This window comes from Homo sapiens, chromosome 6 (assembly GCF_000001405.40).
Source record: "Homo sapiens chromosome 6, GRCh38.p14 Primary Assembly".
NCBI classification, from domain to species: Eukaryota; Metazoa; Chordata; class Mammalia; order Primates; family Hominidae; genus Homo; species Homo sapiens.
Genome location: NC_000006.12, coordinates 1,574,549 through 1,591,126, shown reverse-complemented (window position 1 = coordinate 1,591,126; position 16,578 = coordinate 1,574,549). Strand labels below are relative to the sequence as shown.

Genomic DNA, 16,578 nt, shown 5'->3' with positions numbered 1-16,578 from the left:
CTCACTATATTGCCTAGGCTGGTCTCAAACTCCTGGGCTCATGCAATCCTCCTGCCTCGACCTCCCAAAATGCTGGGATTATAGGCGTGAGCCACCATGCCTGACCTACACTTTGTTTTATGTGTGTTCTTGTTTAAGGTCACTATATTTAATATATGATTTTGATTCATGAACATTAAACTCAGAGTGACACCACCAGCACTTGTGCCTGAATGGAGTTTCACCGACACACCTGGCTTCTCGCCTTCTGTGCTCAGAAACACTACATAGCTCAGCACTGTGTTTGGGGCTACCCTGGACTTGAAACCACCAACACAAGCGTGAAAATGGGGCACTCAATCAGCTGTGGACAGGGTGCGTGTTTACCACATGAGCTGGAGCGTGGCATGGTCAGCCAGGATCATGCACATCAGGAAACTCCAACGTTTTGCCGCTCAGCACATGTCCACGAATAACTGGGAAAGCAGCACCAGGGTTGATTTGGGAGTTACGAATAAGTTTTAGTTAGGAGAACAATTTACATATATGGAATCTGTGGGTCATGAGGGCTGATCATATATTGATGCAGCCAATGTGCATTTTTAAGATCTGTTGATTGTGGATAATGGTTAACTCCTAGGAAGTGAGTTTTGGGTCTTATCTAATGTCAAACCATTAAAAAAATTAATTGCATTTATACAGTGTTTTGTTGGTGAAGACATGACTTGGGAAATAACTCTTTACTTTTCTTGCCCCTTGAAGTCTTTCAAGCTTGTCTCTCCAGGTTGTCTTTCTACATCCATCAAGGAAATCACCCACCAAACACCTTCTGCATCCCTGGGTGTGCAGAAGGACCTGGTGTTAAGCCTCATTTACCTGCCAACAATAACAGAGTTCTGGGATGTCCTAAAGACCAGCATTTCATCATCGTTGAACTAGGAATATGAGCATGTTCAACAAATTGGGGGAGAGGATAATTTCACTTAGGGATGGCGTTTTTGCCCTCTTGGGCTATATTAGGGAAAAATATTTCACGTAAAGGATCTCTTTCATGTGGCCTTTTCACATTTTCATGAAAAGGGAGGTTTATCAACTTTTTCCTAAGTGAGATTATGACGCTGCCCCCGTAGGGCACCATTCCCTAAGCTGAGTGCCGTAGAGAACCAGCAACACGGGTTATGCAATTGTATAAACTTGGGAATTATGAGCGACGTTGAATTGTTTCCTGCTGCAGACCTTTCCAGAGCCTTCAGCAGCTAATGTACCTTTTGAAATCACAAGGTATGGAAGGCGTCTCACAGAGTTGACCATGGGATGATCTCCTGGATTTGTGTTCTCTAGGCTTATTTTGGGAAACACCCCGATAAGGACTGGATGGATGGTGCACAGAATACACAGGGAGTGTCCGAGGCTGAGGTGCTGCCCCAGTGCTTGGTTTCTGGTGTTGTTTCCCTCATGGATAGAGGGCAGGCAGGGTGGCGGCCACAATGAAATGAAAGATTCCCTCCCGTTGTCTTGCGTAAGTGAAGTGATGGTTGCTCTCTTTTCTCTTTAAGTAGGTATTAGGGGATCATTGCCTGGTTTTCAGGCACTGAAATGGACACGCTCCTCTCTCATGCCTGATTGTGTAAGAAGCATTTATTAACCATGATGAGGAGCAGACGCTGCCTGGTGTGGGCAGTGCACAGGTGAATGAGACCTGGAGTTGCCAAGAGAAGAAAGAAACTCGTAGTGACTTCCCTTTGATCTTGCTTTTCTGGGTGCGTTGATAATCATCTCCACCTCAGTTACCAAACACAAAGATTTCAGGAGTGCCTTGGCCGAAGTTCACTGCCGGCCAATCCCAGTCTTGTAATGACTATTGTTGAAATGCTGTGGCTTTTCCTTCCCTGTTCATATGTCTTGTGTGGACAGTGTCACATGCCCAGCCACCAGATCATAATAGTATGTTTAAAAGATTGCTCTAAAATGGGCTTTTGGAAGGGGAGTCAATCAATCAACCAATCAATCAAGGGAGTCATGAATTCTCAATGTGCCTCTTTTACTTTGCGCAATTTGAGACTTCATATCAGTCATCTCTGTCCATGAGAAAACATGATGGCATTGTAGTTAAAGGCCTCTTATGTGCCAGTCACTGTGCTGAGTACTAGGAGACAGCCCGTGAGATGTAATTTCTGTCCCAATTGAAAGAAGTAAACAGTAACAATTACAGCTGCCGTTTATCAAATACCCACTCTGTACCAAACACTGCTTGAAGACTGAAGGTTTGCTCTGAACAATCACTCTCATATTGCTGGCAATGTTTCATACAAAGATTTTTTGAATGGAATTGACTATAATTGTTGGGGAATAAATGAAATTGCAAAGCACCTTGTACAGCATTGGCCTTGTGGTAAGAGTGAAGGAAAATAGCCTTCACTGCCCATTGTAATTATAATGCCGGGCAACATCTGTTTCTTATTCATCTTTGTCTTCTCAGTACCTGGCCCAGAACACACACTTGATAAATGTTTGTTAACAATGAATGATGGGCTGGGCGTGGTGGCTCACGCCTATAATCCCAGCACTTTGGGAGGCCCAGGCAGGCAGATCACTTGAGATCAGGGGTTCCAGACCAGATTGGCCAACATGGTGAAACACCGTCTGTACTAAAAATACAAAAGTTAACCAGGTGTTGTGGTGTACGCCTGTAATCCTGGCTACTCAGGAGGCTGAGGCAGGAGAATTGCTTGAACCCAGGAGGCAGAGGTCGCAGTGAGCCGGGATTGTGCCACTGCATTGCAGCCTAGGCAACAGAGCAAGACCTCGTTTCAAAAAACAAAAAAACCAACCAACAAACAAAAATCGATGATGATGACTCAAGTAAGAAATAACAATTAACTACTCGGCAAAATAGAGTAGATAGACAGTCACTTTCATACTTTTAACTTTTAGACTTGTTTATTTTGCTCATTTGGAGAACTAATGACGTGTGACTGACGTGGAGACTTGAGTCGAGTCATCAGATAAATCAAGGCAGTGCCGGGTATTAGCACGCATTATCTTGATAATTCAGGCACAGATAGTTTGGGGCCACATATTCTTTGGAAAATGTCCTTACTTTCACGTGAATTTCCACATTGTGGATTGGCGGAAGTTCGGGAACATTACAAACGCTTACCATGAACTCAGGACAACTTGCTCTTAGATGTGGGTCTATATTTTGCAGGAAGGGTTACCATGGGATTGATTCTGAGCAGGCAAGGTTCTGCATGGAGATGGCTTTAGGATAAGTATATGGGTTTTCCTGTGATGTCGACAGCACATGATATTTCCATAAAGGTCACTTAACATAAGCGCACAAAAGCCTTCATGGGTTGTAACGCTGCAGCTGCCAAGCCAGGTGAGCCAAGTCTCACTGCCTGGGGAATTGTGCCGGAGTCAAGACTAGAACCGGCGCTGCCTGGTGTTAACAGGAGCAAACAGGTTCGTGGCAGTGATCTATGGAGTCTCATTTCCAGCTCCTTTATTCACTTGTTCATAACTTTCTGCCAAATTCTTTGAGGCTGAAAGCTTTCTTGTCTGGTGCTGGGCCATGACTGCCCAAAGGTAAATTTTTCTGGAGAGTTTCTGCCAGAGCTATTAAGCCTTTCTTGAATCAATGAAAAAAGAAATTCTTCATTTGAATTTGTTGGCGTCGGTTCTCTGGTAATTCAGCACTTAGCCCAGTCACCCAGAAGATCTCTCTCTCTCACACATACACACACACACCAATACTTGAATACACACATGCACACCCAACCCACACACATAAGCAGACACACACCCAATACACTTGCACACAACTTACACACATGCACACTCACATACACCCATACTCTCACACACCACATACTCATATGCACACACACCCAACACACACCCTCATGCACACTCTCATACACCCAGTACATTCACTATACCACACACACAGACGCACACACCACACATGAACACACACACACACATGCAGGGCCTACACTCTTGGTCTAGACCATGCAAACCTGAACCACAGGGTCATTTTTCCCTTGGGGGCACTGCAGGCTCTCGCACCTGGTCCTGTGGGAAAGGGAGGCTGGAGGAGCAGACAGACTCATCAGATCATGCCCTCCATTCTTTCTCAGCAACAAACAAATGCACTCATTTGCCTGCTGCTTCAAAAGCAGGAGTGTGGCCTGGGTGCGGTGGCTCACACCTGCAATCCCAGCACTTTGCAGGGCCGAGGCAAGATCGTTTGAGGACAGGTGTTAGAGACCAGCCTGAGCAACAAAGGGAGACCCGTCTCTACACAAAATTAGAAAAAAAATTAGCCAGGTGTGATGGTGCACACCTGTAGTCCCAGCTACTTGGGAGGCTGAGGTGGGAGGATGGCTTGAGCTTGGGAATTGGAGGCTGCAGTGAGCTGAGATCACACCACTTCACTCCAGCCTGGACCACACAGTGAGACCCTGTCTCTAAAAAAAAAAAAGAAAAAAAAAAAAAAAGCAGGAGCGTGAACTTGAATGGGAACAGCAGTGAACGCTGAGTCCTGGGCACATTCACTCAATGCCTGTTACCACATAAGAGGGGGAGAGGGGCAACCCCCCGGACCTACATTTTTATATTGGTAGGAAATAGTAACCCTTGAAAACAAGAGGAAGGAGGAAGGCACTGTGGCTACACCCCGGCTATGGAGGTGAGCACCAGCCTGCCTCTGTGTCGTCCTCCGTTTCCTCCATGCCTTCCATACTCAGTTGAGTGGATGCCACTTGTCAAGAGCTATAGTCAGTAGCAATTACTAGCTCCAGCTGTCTGGAGGGAAAAGTGCTGGCTTGATGAATGAAGTGACTTCTAGTCCGTCAGAGGTATGGTTCTGGGAGAGCAACAATCATAACTAATAGTTTTTTACTTAACAGACCTTTTTACAACCCGAAACTCTCTTCACAAGGGCTCTGAAAAATAACTGGACACTAACATGACCTGATTTGGGAAAAAACTGAATTCTCTAATTTTCCATATTGAAAAATTATATTGCCTTGTTCTTTTATTCTGCAAAAGGAAAACAGAAAAAGGCAAAAGTCACAGAATGGAAAAGGGCAAAGAATTTAAGAGGATGAATTGAAGAAGAAAATAAAATGCTGAGGTTGGCTTGGCTTGTTCCAGGGAGAACCTGGCTGGAACAACCGGGTGTTCATCGGGAATTCAGAGGCTGTGCCGACCCTCCAGGGAGCCAGTGCCCGACCTGTCCTCCGGGTGGGGACTGAGGATGCAGAGAATGGCTCAATCGGCTGCACGAGAGGCCCTGCCCTGTGGGCGCTGAGCAGTAGCCATGGTCCCCTGCCGGGTCGGCAGAGTTACCTTTGCTGCTGCATCCATGAAAGACCCTTTCTCCTTGAGCTAGTCGGGGAACCCACGGTGGCCAAGGAAATGCACCACCTCCTTCTACAGACACTTTCCTCCTGGCTGCAGGGGCTTTCTGGTGAGTGTTTTAGTCTCTTCCCAACTGTTTCTTTTAACCAGATTTCACCTGCATGAAAGCCCCCAGTAGGGTGTCAGAATGTGGGGAGAGTGGGGGGATACTTGGCGGGATTGCCCGAGCCTCAGTCCCTAGCCTGTCACCTCGCTGGGGAGTGTGGCAGTTCAGGGCCATCATCTTCACGGCAGCTACGTTCTGCAGAGTATTCCATGCTAAAGCCAGGAGCTTCTGGGGGAGGGTGGTGGGTTTCACATGGATCCTAGCATTTCCTGCCCGTGTTACAGGCATGTGAAACACTCGGTTCTTCTCTCTTATGAAAAGAACTAGAACAAATGGAGTCCGTACATGTGGCCTTCGGGCACTGGGGTGGCTCAGAGGGGAGGAGAGGTGCTTAGAGTTGGTTTTTTGGACAAGACCCAGTGGAGCAATTCTAATTCCCTCTCTGTTGAATGACAGCCAACACTCTTGTGCTGTTGATCTTCTCACCTCCGTATTTGTTTATGAATTATCTGGAAAGGTGATTGTATGAGCTTACCGAGACAGAGTTCCAGGGGCCCCTGGGGGAAGCCGGGCAATGTCTCCACAAGCAAAGCCATGTGGGAGGGCCAGTGGGACACGCAGAGGAAAGCCCCTGTTCCTTGCCACCGAAGAGAGGGTTTTCATGCTCTGAATTGGTACAGTGAGCTCCCTATAAGCACTAAACTCACCCGCTGAAACATTGGCTCTTTATTTTGCGCAATTTAAGAGACAACCAAGGTTATGGAAAATGTTGAGAGTAAAGGTTTTGACCTGACAACTCATAGAATACCCTTCAAAATAAGTATTACCAACATTTAAGAAACTTTTTTCAAAAATCAAAAGAAAGCCTTGAGTTTTTCTGACAGTTCTCTGTTTTTATTTTAAATCAAATTTTATTGTTCGAATAGCAAACCATGAGCATGATTTAAATAGAAAAAAGACCTAAGAAGATAGGCATTGAGAAGCCTTTCTCCCATTCAGGTCCAAATCCCACCGCCAAATATAACTACTAAGCAAATATAACTTCGATTAGTTTTGTGGGAGGGCAGGTGGGAGTACGTCCATCCCTTATGGAAATATATTCATAATTTTGAAAATTCTTATTTTTCATTCTTTCATGACCAATACAACCTTGCTTTTTTTCACTTAATATGGCATCCTGTTGGTCTCCCCTTTGTACACAGGGCCTCCCCTTTTAGAATTGCCTGGTATTCTATGGGGTGGAGAGGCCTCAGTTGATTTAACACGGCCCCTATAGATGGATACTTGTGCTGTTGCCAGCCTTGACCATAACAAACACGGATTCAACAGAGCGCCTTGGCCATATGTCATTAAGTATGGAAGTGGGAGCATCCACAGGGTCAATCTCCAAAGTCAGATTGCTAGGTCATGGGGCCACGCACTGACAGCTCTGATAAACAGAAAATCCCTCTTCACCAGTGTCTTACCTCCCTGCCCTCCTACCAGCCACAAGGAGATGGACTGTTTCCTCACAGCCTTACCAACCGAACATGCTGACCAGTTTTTGGATTTTGCCAGTCTGATAAGTGAGAAATGTTATCTCAATGTAGTTGAATTAGAATTTCCTTTGAGTTCTTTTCATACATTCTATTTCTTTTCCTGTGAACTATTTATTCATTTGTCCACCTTCCTATTGGGTTATTGGACTTTTTCTTCCTGATTTATAGAAGTTCTTTATGTATTAGGAAGATTAACCCTTGTCTATGATATGAGTTACAAACATTTTTTCCCCAGTTTGTCATTTGCCTTTTGACTTCGTTGATGGTGTATTTTTCAGTTTTCTCTTATGCATAAATAAATAATGGAAAGAATAGTACAATGGTCAGCTGTATGTCCACCCTCTAAATTCAACAATTTGAATTGACATCGGGTACCGCTTCTGCCTTATCTCTGTGTGTGCGCACGTGTGTGTGCTCATGTGTGGGCATGTGTGTGTGTGTTTGTGTGCTTCTAGACACCAAGGACTTCTGTGTGTACCTTCTAAAAATAAGGACGTTTTATTATACACTCATCATACCATTATCACATCCAAGAGAATTTACAATAATTCCTTAATATCATCTCACATCCATACTATCTATGGTGTTTTCCACATAGAAGTTTTTGATTTTTATGTTTAGATTAGCCAATATCTCTCAATCTTTTTTTAAATGGCTACTGAAGTTTTGCGTTACAGTTAAAAAGACCTCCCTCTTCAAGGCTTTAAAGGTAGATATCTGACCTTGAATTTTTCTGCTACTTTTTGTGCTTCTACTTTCTAATGTTTAGATCTGTGATACATTTGGAGTTACTCCGGCACATTCTGGGAAGGGCGGGTCCACTTTACCTTTTTCCAGATGGCTGCCTGATGGCACCGGCCTCCTTTATTTAAAAGTCCATCTTTACTGCCACCAAGCTAAGATGTAGTCTTGATCATATATTGGTTTCACATATTCATTTGACCCTCCTTCTGAGTTTTTGACTCTTTTCCACAGGTCTGCCTTTCAGTTTTAATTATTTAATTAACACCTTTAGAATATGTTTTAATACCTCTGAGGGCTGGTCCTTCTTCATTTTTCTTTCTTTTCAGAATTGTCTTGCTTCTTCCTTTTTTTCTCCATATTAACTTTAAAACTACATGTCTAGTTCCAGAAAAATCCTCTTTTAAAAATGGAGATGATGTTCATATATAAGTGACCTTAGAGATAATTGATGCCTTTTTTTTTTTTTTTTTTTGAGATGGAGTCTTGCTCCGTCCCCCAGGCTGGAGTGCAGTGGTGCAATCTTGGCTCACTGCAACCTCTGCCTCCCGAGTTCAAGCGATTCTCCTGCCTCAGCCTCCCAAGTAGCTGGGATTACAGGTGCCCACCACCAGGCCTGGCTAATTTTTGTATTTTTTAGTAGACACAGGGTTTTACCATGTTGGCCAGGCTAGTCTCAAACTCCTGACCTCAGGTGATCCACCTGCCTCGGCCTCCCGGAGTGCTGGGATTACAGGTGTGAGCCACTGTGCCTGGCCATTGATGCCCTTTAATGCTGAGTCTTCCTAACAAGAGATGAGTAAGGTCTGTCCTTCCATCCACACAGCTGTACCCTGTGTTCTTCAGGAGCATTTTGAAGTTTCATCCTAAAGGTCTACACATTTCTTGTTATGTTTTTCCTGTGTATGAATGGCTGAGTGAAACCACCCGAGATATGGGAAATGAGACCTTATGAACCCCCCCAGAACTGTGTCCCGCCCCAGGAAGGCAGCTGCCATGGGCCATTCCCAGTCGCATCTTTGTCTCCCTTCTCTGTAGATGTTTGCTTTGCCGCCTAGATGTAACCCCTAAACCATACAGGGTAGTGGTCTTTCTTGTGCCTGTCTTAGAGTTTTCTGGAAGTGGCGTCATATTGCCTGGGCTTTTTTTTTTTTTTTTTAGATGGAGTTTCGCTCGTATTGCCCAGGCTGGAGCGCAGTGGTGCAATCTCAGCTCACTGCAACCTCCGCCTCCCGGATTCAAACGATTGTCCTGCCTCAGTCTCCCAAGTAGCTGAAATTACAGACATGTGCTACCACACCTGGCTAATTTGTTTGTATTTAGTAGAGATGGGGTTTCACCACATTGGTCAGACTGGTCTCGAACTCCTGACCTCAGGTGATCCACCTGCCTTGGCGTCCCAAAGTATTGGGATTACAGGCATGAGCCACCGTGCCTGGCCAACGTGGGGTCTTGGTTGCTTCTCTTCCTAAACCTCAGGCTTGTGAGATGGAGCCTGTCTCATGTGCGTCTCTCTGGTTCACTGTTTTCATTGCTTATAATGCTCCTTTGTTCATTTTCTACTCATTTGTGTCCGCTAGGTGTTTGGGTTGCTTCCAGTTTGGGGATGCTATGAAGAGGCTCTGTGCAGCTCTCCCATTCGATGCTGTTGTGCCTGTGCGTGCATTTCTGTGAAGTGTGTCCCTGGATGGGAAATTATTGGGTCACAGGCAGGGACACTGTCGTGGACATTACCAACGATGTACACTCCCGGGAGTACTGTCACTGAGCTCCGGGTGGCCCACGTCCTCCCCGAGTAGTGGCTCCACATGGCGGTGATTCCTCCCTCGTACACCTTGACTAACGTGTGTCCCAGCTCCCGATCCCTGTGCGCAGTCTTCTTCTCTGGACGGTCCCGCTTCCAGTGTAGGGCCCCAGTGCTGTCATGCTTCCTATCAGCCAAAAGCTTTGTGGTCAGGGACAGTGGCTTCAGGCATGGCTCTAGGTGGGCGGCCACACATGAAGGTGGGAGTTGGTGAGATGGGGCGCTGCTGGGACGGCGGCACAAGGAGAGCACATGACGGGGGCGGTGACGTGCCCGGAGCCAGCCTCCCAGCACTGGGCTCTCAGGTCAGTGCACCCCTCCGCTGTGGCCAGCCCCTCCCCACCCTGTGGCTGTCGCGTGGGTGAATCAGCCCCACAGAGAGGGCCCGGGAGTCTTTCTGCCCACTGTCTCTGCTGGGGTCTTTGGGACTCACTCCATGAGCTCTCCAAGCCTCACCTCCCCAGGCATCTTGGGTAACTCTGGGCAGGCCAAGTCCTCTCTGGGCTCAGGAGTCCTTCATCTGCTCTCCTGGTCTCATAGGACAGTAGCCCTCACCCGCCCCAGGCCTGACTCCCTCCTGCAGCCTCTCTGAGTCCCTCCTTCAGCCATTCTGACAATGCCCAGCTGCTGCTTTAGTACAAGGACGAGCAGGAGACCCTGGTGTAGAGGATCCCCACCATCCCAGAGCCTGCAAGACAAAGGCTCAGGTAGAAGAAGGAGGGCCAGGGGCTGCAGGAAGGCAGGAGGATGCCAGGGGGAACCGAGGTAGCTGGAAATGTTGCGAAACACACACTCACATGCCCCAGCTTGCCCCCAAGCCGGCTGCACTGCTTTCCCCTCCTCAGCCCACTCATGGCTCGGGTCAGCCGACGTCCCATCCTGTGCCTTTCCATGGTGGGAGACCACCGCGGGATGGACCTGTGCCCCTGACCAAGCCTGAATTATAAGATAATTCTTTTGCTTCTAAAGGCTTCTTTCTAAGGCAGAAGAGTAGACACAGGTTCTGAAGATTCTGATCCCAGAGTTCTGGCTTTCCCCTCCCTTTGTGGCCCCCAGTTCCACCAGCAAAGCATGGGGTGCTTTCCGGCCACCCTGCAAGCTGGGCTCCCAGGTAAGTCATCCACGACCTCTCGTCCAGGTTTGCTGGCTCATGGATTTTTCTCTACGCTGATTTTATCACTTCATATAAAATTGGACCTTGGTTGTTTTTAGCCAATGCAGTAGTAATATTTTTTTTAAAGTAGACTCATGAGAGTGTTCCCCAGCTGGGGCATGAGTAATCCATCCCTAAGCTGCTCCAAGTAACAATCCTGTTAGTGGACCAGAAAGCTGCTTTCTCTCAGACCATTGATTTCAAAGCTGGAAAACAGCAGGTAACTCTCTCACATCTTTGTGTATCTTTTTTTAAAAATTTAGAGCAAGCGGTTGTGTGTTTCAGGGAAAGATAGGCTTGGGATGGTTGTGGGAAGGGGAGGATAGACGGCTCGTTCCGGAAGATAGCAGACCTTGGTCTCTGCCCCTGATGCTGCGGTGGCTCCAGGCTAAGCGAGGAGCTCACACAGGGGAGGACAGTGGCCCAGGACCGTCCCCAGCCACCAAGTCCACTGGCTTCACTATCTGCACAGGTGCTTCCCTCTCGGAGGTGAATTTTCAGAGCTACTCGCACCTTCAGGGAAACCTCTTCATCATCTCATTGTCCTCCTGGACTAGGGAAGCTGGTGTAACAGAAGGGTCCTTGCAAGGAGTAGGGGGGAGGAAGGAGCGCACAGGAAAGGGGGGAAGGGCTGGAAGTGAGGAGGGGTGAAATGAGGGGGGAACGCACCTGACACTAACCTGGGCTCACTCCCCTGTCCCTGGGGGCTGCTTCTTTTGGAGCTTGTTACCCCCTGTAGGACAATGTCCCTGACAGTTGACCTTGCTATTCGTAGCACAGGCAGGCCAGCAACCACGGGCCCTGGAAGCTGCAAGTGTATAAATATATCATGGGCTCCTTGGCCCTGAGCCTGGGTGTGGTCTACAGCTGCCCAGGTCTCCATCCTGGGCAGAATGGAAACCTTCTTCATCGGGGAGGCCCTGGGATTATTTGTAGGTCATTCTTGCCCCGGTTGACTTACAGCCACAGCACTTACTCAGTGTTTAATGCTGTTGACCCTCTCTCCACTGCTCAGCCCTCGCAGCCTGCAACTCAGCTTTGTGGCTCCTTTCTGGAAGGTTTCCAGTGTCTCAATGTTCCTCTGAACTTGGGGTGCTCCAAACTGTCTGCGGTCTTCTTTTGGGGCTGAGCTAAGGTTGGGATCTGCAGAATAAAGGACGTCTTGTTCTCACCGAAGCCTGCAGTGTTTGCCTCTTTGTATGCACCCAGTGTATCATGTCTTTAAAAAAAATTCCTTTCTGTGACTACATTACATTATGTATTTATAATGACTCTGCTGTTCACTGATACACCCAGACCATTCCTGGAACCTTGCTTTCCCCCATCATCTTCCCACTGTTTCTCTATATCTGCCACTGGAGCAGACATGAACTAATAAAAATGTGGCCTCTCTGCCTTTGGAGGGCTTTGATGTGGTGATGAGTATGTTCTTCCCAGGTAAAGAAAAGTCCCATCCGTGGTCTCTTTTCAGCCTGGGGAATGGGGTGCATCTCAGCCCAGGTCTCTTTGCCTACTGGGGTGCTAAACTCAGGCTGCAGAATCTCTCTAGAAATCAGAAAGGATGAACTCTGATTTCAGAATCTGGAGGGATCCCTTTTCCCTCCTGTTAGGGGAGATAGGGTCAATGTTATTCCCATCATCAGTTCCTCTTCGGTCTTTCTTGCTCATTTCTTCCAAGATATTACCTGATTTTTTTCTTGCAAATTACAAGGTAAGATCATGGAGTTTCAGGCCAGAAGCCTATTAGGGACTAATTTTAGAGCCGGGGCATCTGAGCATCAGAGGGGACACATGTGACCTGACCACAGTCGTGGTTAGCTGCTGGTGCACTGGACCAGAACCCATGCAGGATGTTTTCCGGACCATTTGTTCAAACAGCTAATAAATGATCAATAAATCTGATATAAGCGAGAACTCACCGGGCGTTTCCCCACAATGCCTCATCCTCAATTTATGAGGAGGGAATTTGTATGATTTTTCCTGTGCGTGGCCACTAGGCTTGAATTCATCATACCTAGCCTAGCCTCTGTGGAAAGGACTGTGGTCAAAATCTGACTAATTCATCAATGAATTTATGGTCTGTTCAAAGCCCACGTAAGAAATGGAAAGAACCGTGGCCAGTCTGTGACAACAGGAGGATTTATTTGGTATGAGATGGTTACCATAGAGGGACTCTTTATAATTTGTTGGATACAAGGTTCTTGCAACCGTGGAATTTTGGACATGTGGCATTATTGTTTTTGGAGAGCTGGTGGAGTAACCCACTCAATTATCAGTTGTGCTTGGATGAGCAATAAATTCCAGCAAAGAAATGCAGAAAGCAGAGCGGCAGGCCTTCTCCCCGAGAGCGCCGGCTGCCGCGCAGTCCCTCTCACCCCTCCTGCGTCTCACTGGCTTTTCCTTGCAGTTTCATTTTTGAGGTGTTCAAAAGCAGGATTTTCTACACAAAATAATAAAATGTAAATGTAAAAACAAATCCCGCCACTGGCGTTTGAAGGCAGGTTGTTGCATACCCAAGTGCCAGCTTCCTTTCCAAAAGTGGAACATCACGGAGGAACACGGGGCCCCGGCTGAGGGTGCGCGGTGTTTATTCTCGCCTTTGCCCTCAGGACTCAGTGTTCCTTCTTTCCAGGGACAGCTTGACACAGATGGCATCCAAGGTTCTCTTCGTCCTTCTTGGGACGGTTGTTTCTTACCGTTTAATGATCACAGTGTGGAAATATAACATTGAGCTTTGAGGCCGCTGTTGTTTCCAAATGCTTTGACAGCTACATGCAGTTTAGTGTGCGTGTATTCCGCCCCCTTTCAGTGCCCATTTTCAGATATTCATCCTCATTTGGGACTTTTGATCTGTCCTGGATGCCTTCCAGCCTGGGCCAGGTAGGAGTGTGGCAGGCATGGCAGGGGCAGGCAGGGCTGGCAGGCACAGCTGCCCCGACGGGTGGGGATGACCAGCCGGGGCTCGGCTTTGTCTCCACACCACAAATGTCTTCCAAAGTTGGCCTGCAGCTTGCGGGGCTCCTGAAGCCTGAAATGGACCAGGGGATGCTAATATCTCACCTCTCCCAATTCAGGTCCCCGGCTGCAGGCAGGGGGAGATCTGGGCAGCCAGTGTCCTGGGAGAAGGAGGAGTGTCCCTTGACCCTCTATGGGACATTTGCTAGCAGAAGCTGGAGGGGCCGCAGCCAGAAGGAGTGGCTGAGTGAGGGGGTATTCAGGCCAAAGCAGTGGTGGGAAGTGGTACCTCTGAGGGGGCGTGTGGAGGCTGTCTAGGCTGGGGGCCCCCTGGCCGGGCCCTTTCCATTTGCTCTCTGTCTATGTATTTGTTACACATAACAGAATCATTTGATGGCATTTTCTGATAGGGCCCTGAAGTCTATTGAAAATGGTCCATCTCAGTTGCTTGGCTCCAAGGGTGTCGAGTATGTTCCATTCACTCCAGAACAGGGTTCTGAAGCTCAGACACTCCCAGCAGCCTGGCGTGGCGGCTGTGCTGAGTGGGAGTGGGACAACCGACCTAGGGGGCAGGTGCTGTCAGCCCCACAGATGATGCCACACGGGACGGTGGGCCTCACGAAGCCTCATTTTCCAATCCACGGAGAGGAGCAGGAAACCGGGACTTTCAATGGTGGCGACTAATTCACCTTTTTCAAAGAACCAACAAAATTCCCTGAAGGCCAAACACGACCATTTTGGGTCTGTTTGCTTTCCCATGGTCACTAGTATTTTCTAGACTTCCTCCGTGAAGTCAAGAAGAGACACTAGGTGGTCTTTCCTAAAGAGCTTTGTCTTAACTTCCTGGGAGTTAACGTACCCATTAAGTTAGGTTATCCACTGAGCAATGCTGGAGTGTGGGCCCTGGCTGTGTCTTTTTCCAACTCCTCCTCTTTCATTATTGCCAGGACTAGTTGTTCTGCATGTTATTTCATAAACTGACCTCTAAGAAATACGTAGTAAAATAGCATGATAGAATTTGAGAGCCGAAGTCCATCAAGCTGGGTTGTGAGAACAAGTGAGAAAGTCCTGTAGGCACCATTAGGTCAATTGCAAATGTAAGTGCATTCCCGGTCTCAGGGATGTTTATGGGATCTCTGCAGAGGTCTCTGTCCTATGCAAACATTCTGCGCCCCCCGACCCCGCCAGCTGTGCCTCGGGTGCTTCTGGGCTTGTGAACTGACCTCAAAGACAGTGTCTCAGACCCTTTTCGAGGCTAGGTGTTCTAAACCCCCGGCCATGACCCTGCAGCACAATGGGTCATAACTAAAAATTAAAAATGAAGTTTTAATTTCCTTTCCCACTGGGGCCAGAAGTTCAGAGAAAACAAGGCTAGCAGGGGGTTTACTGGCAGCCTCCTTTTCCCAGACCTTGCCGCCAGGAGTGTCTGTCACAAAGCCTGTTGAAATGTGCACTTTAATCATCAAAACTGCATTTTCGGATTGTGGGGAGCCACAGTGCTGCTTTCCCATCAGAACAAGGCCAGCCTTTCATTCCCCACTGAGTGCCGTCTTTCCTGCTTTGGCTGAGGTCTGGGTGTGAAGAAACGTTTCAAAATAGGGCTTCCGGGTCCGCCGGTTTTGGAGAGAGAACTTCTGGTGTTACTGGAATCCTTTTCTTTGTGAACAGGAGCAAATGCAGTCTGAAGCCCTGAGACCACAGCCTCTGTGGCCCGTGGGGGAGTCAGTGTTACGCCTGGGCTGAGGCTGGAGTGGGGCTGGCTTCTGGCGTGGGGAGGCTGTGGGGCAGTGGGGGTTTTGGCTGTCTTCCTGGAAGAGTGGGATGATTGCCCAAATCTCCCTGCTTCCCAGGTGGACATGACTCTCCTATGAGAACGCCACTCAGGACGCTCCTTCCCCTCTTTCACTTTGCTGCTTACAGCTTGAAGCTGTGGGGGAACTGTCAGCTGCTTACTATAACCTCAGCTGCTTTTTCTAAAAACCAGACTTGCGCTTTTAAACCGCTCCCAGGGGATCGCTGGCCACTGCCTGCATTAGCTGTGAGGTGACAGGGCTCTGTGGGCTGACAAAGAGCCTGGGAACTTGGAGCTTGTGAGTTTTATGGTCCCAGCTCACTCCAACACCGAAGCCCTCTGAGGCTGTTCAGGGCCGGGGTTCCCAGGCCTACCCACACCTACAGAGGAGGCCTGGCCAGGGCAGGCACTGGGGGAAGGCTCCAGGCTCCTGTGTGGGTGGGTGGTCATGGCCCTGACACCACAGGGCAAGCCCAGGGCCTTAACAGAACTCTGCCCTTGTTGGGGGGTGGAGGGGGGTTGTGTGAAGATAAAATCAGTGCGGGGGATTAGGAGGAAGGGAGCTCAGGTTTATTGAGTTGCTAGCTGGGACAGTGATTAACACTTCAAGGCGCGGGAAGGAGAGACCTAGTGAGCAAACGCCAAGGCAGCCCTCCCTGCATTCTCCAGACACTTAGAAGATGCAAGGCTGAGAAGGCTCTGCTGTTTTTTTCACAGATGAGAAAGCTGAGACTCCAGGAGGGTGAGCGTGGAGCTCAGGGACACAGGGTTCACAAAGGTTGAGTCAGGGACCGTGCCTTTCCCCTGTGGGAACTGCCTTTCTAGGGCCATCGAAGAAATTTTCAGAGCCAAAAAATCTGATCATGATCTGATAAAGGAACTCATCATTCATAATTTAAACTGTTCTGGAAAATCAGAGCTGTGGCCATCAGGTCATTATATGGGGAAAGGATACCGCCTGGGTCATTTGCCAAGGCTGCTGGTCCGGATGGGGCCCATTGTGGGTGCAAGGCCTGGAGCTCATTCAGCTGAGAGTGGATGCCTTGGGGGCAATTGTGCAAGCTGGGAAACCTGGGGTGGGAGAGAAATCGCTGAGTGAGGATTATTCAAAGTTGCCCGTTCCTGTTCCAGGCCGTCAAGTCT

General features: G+C 48.2%; 2 annotated features.

The window, feature by feature from the left end:
- Positions 4,351–4,533: a silencer, noted in NCBI's record as "fragment chr6:1586829-1587011 (GRCh37/hg19 assembly coordinates)". NCBI's record gives its function as "represses an EF-1alpha promoter that drives an FKBP-Casp9 reporter gene in an ReSE screen in phorbol 12-myristate 13-acetate-treated (for megakaryocytic differentiation) K562 erythroleukemia cells {active_cell/tissue: K562(+PMA)}" and the evidence as "EXISTENCE:reporter gene assay evidence [ECO:0000049][PMID:32094911]".
- Positions 13,935–14,708: an enhancer, noted in NCBI's record as "H3K4me1 hESC enhancer chr6:1576654-1577427 (GRCh37/hg19 assembly coordinates)". NCBI's record gives its function as "activates a minimal SCP1, AML or CMV promoter by ChIP-STARR-seq in naive H9 embryonic stem cells {active_cell/tissue: H9 hESC(naive)}" and the evidence as "EXISTENCE:reporter gene assay evidence [ECO:0000049][PMID:30033119]".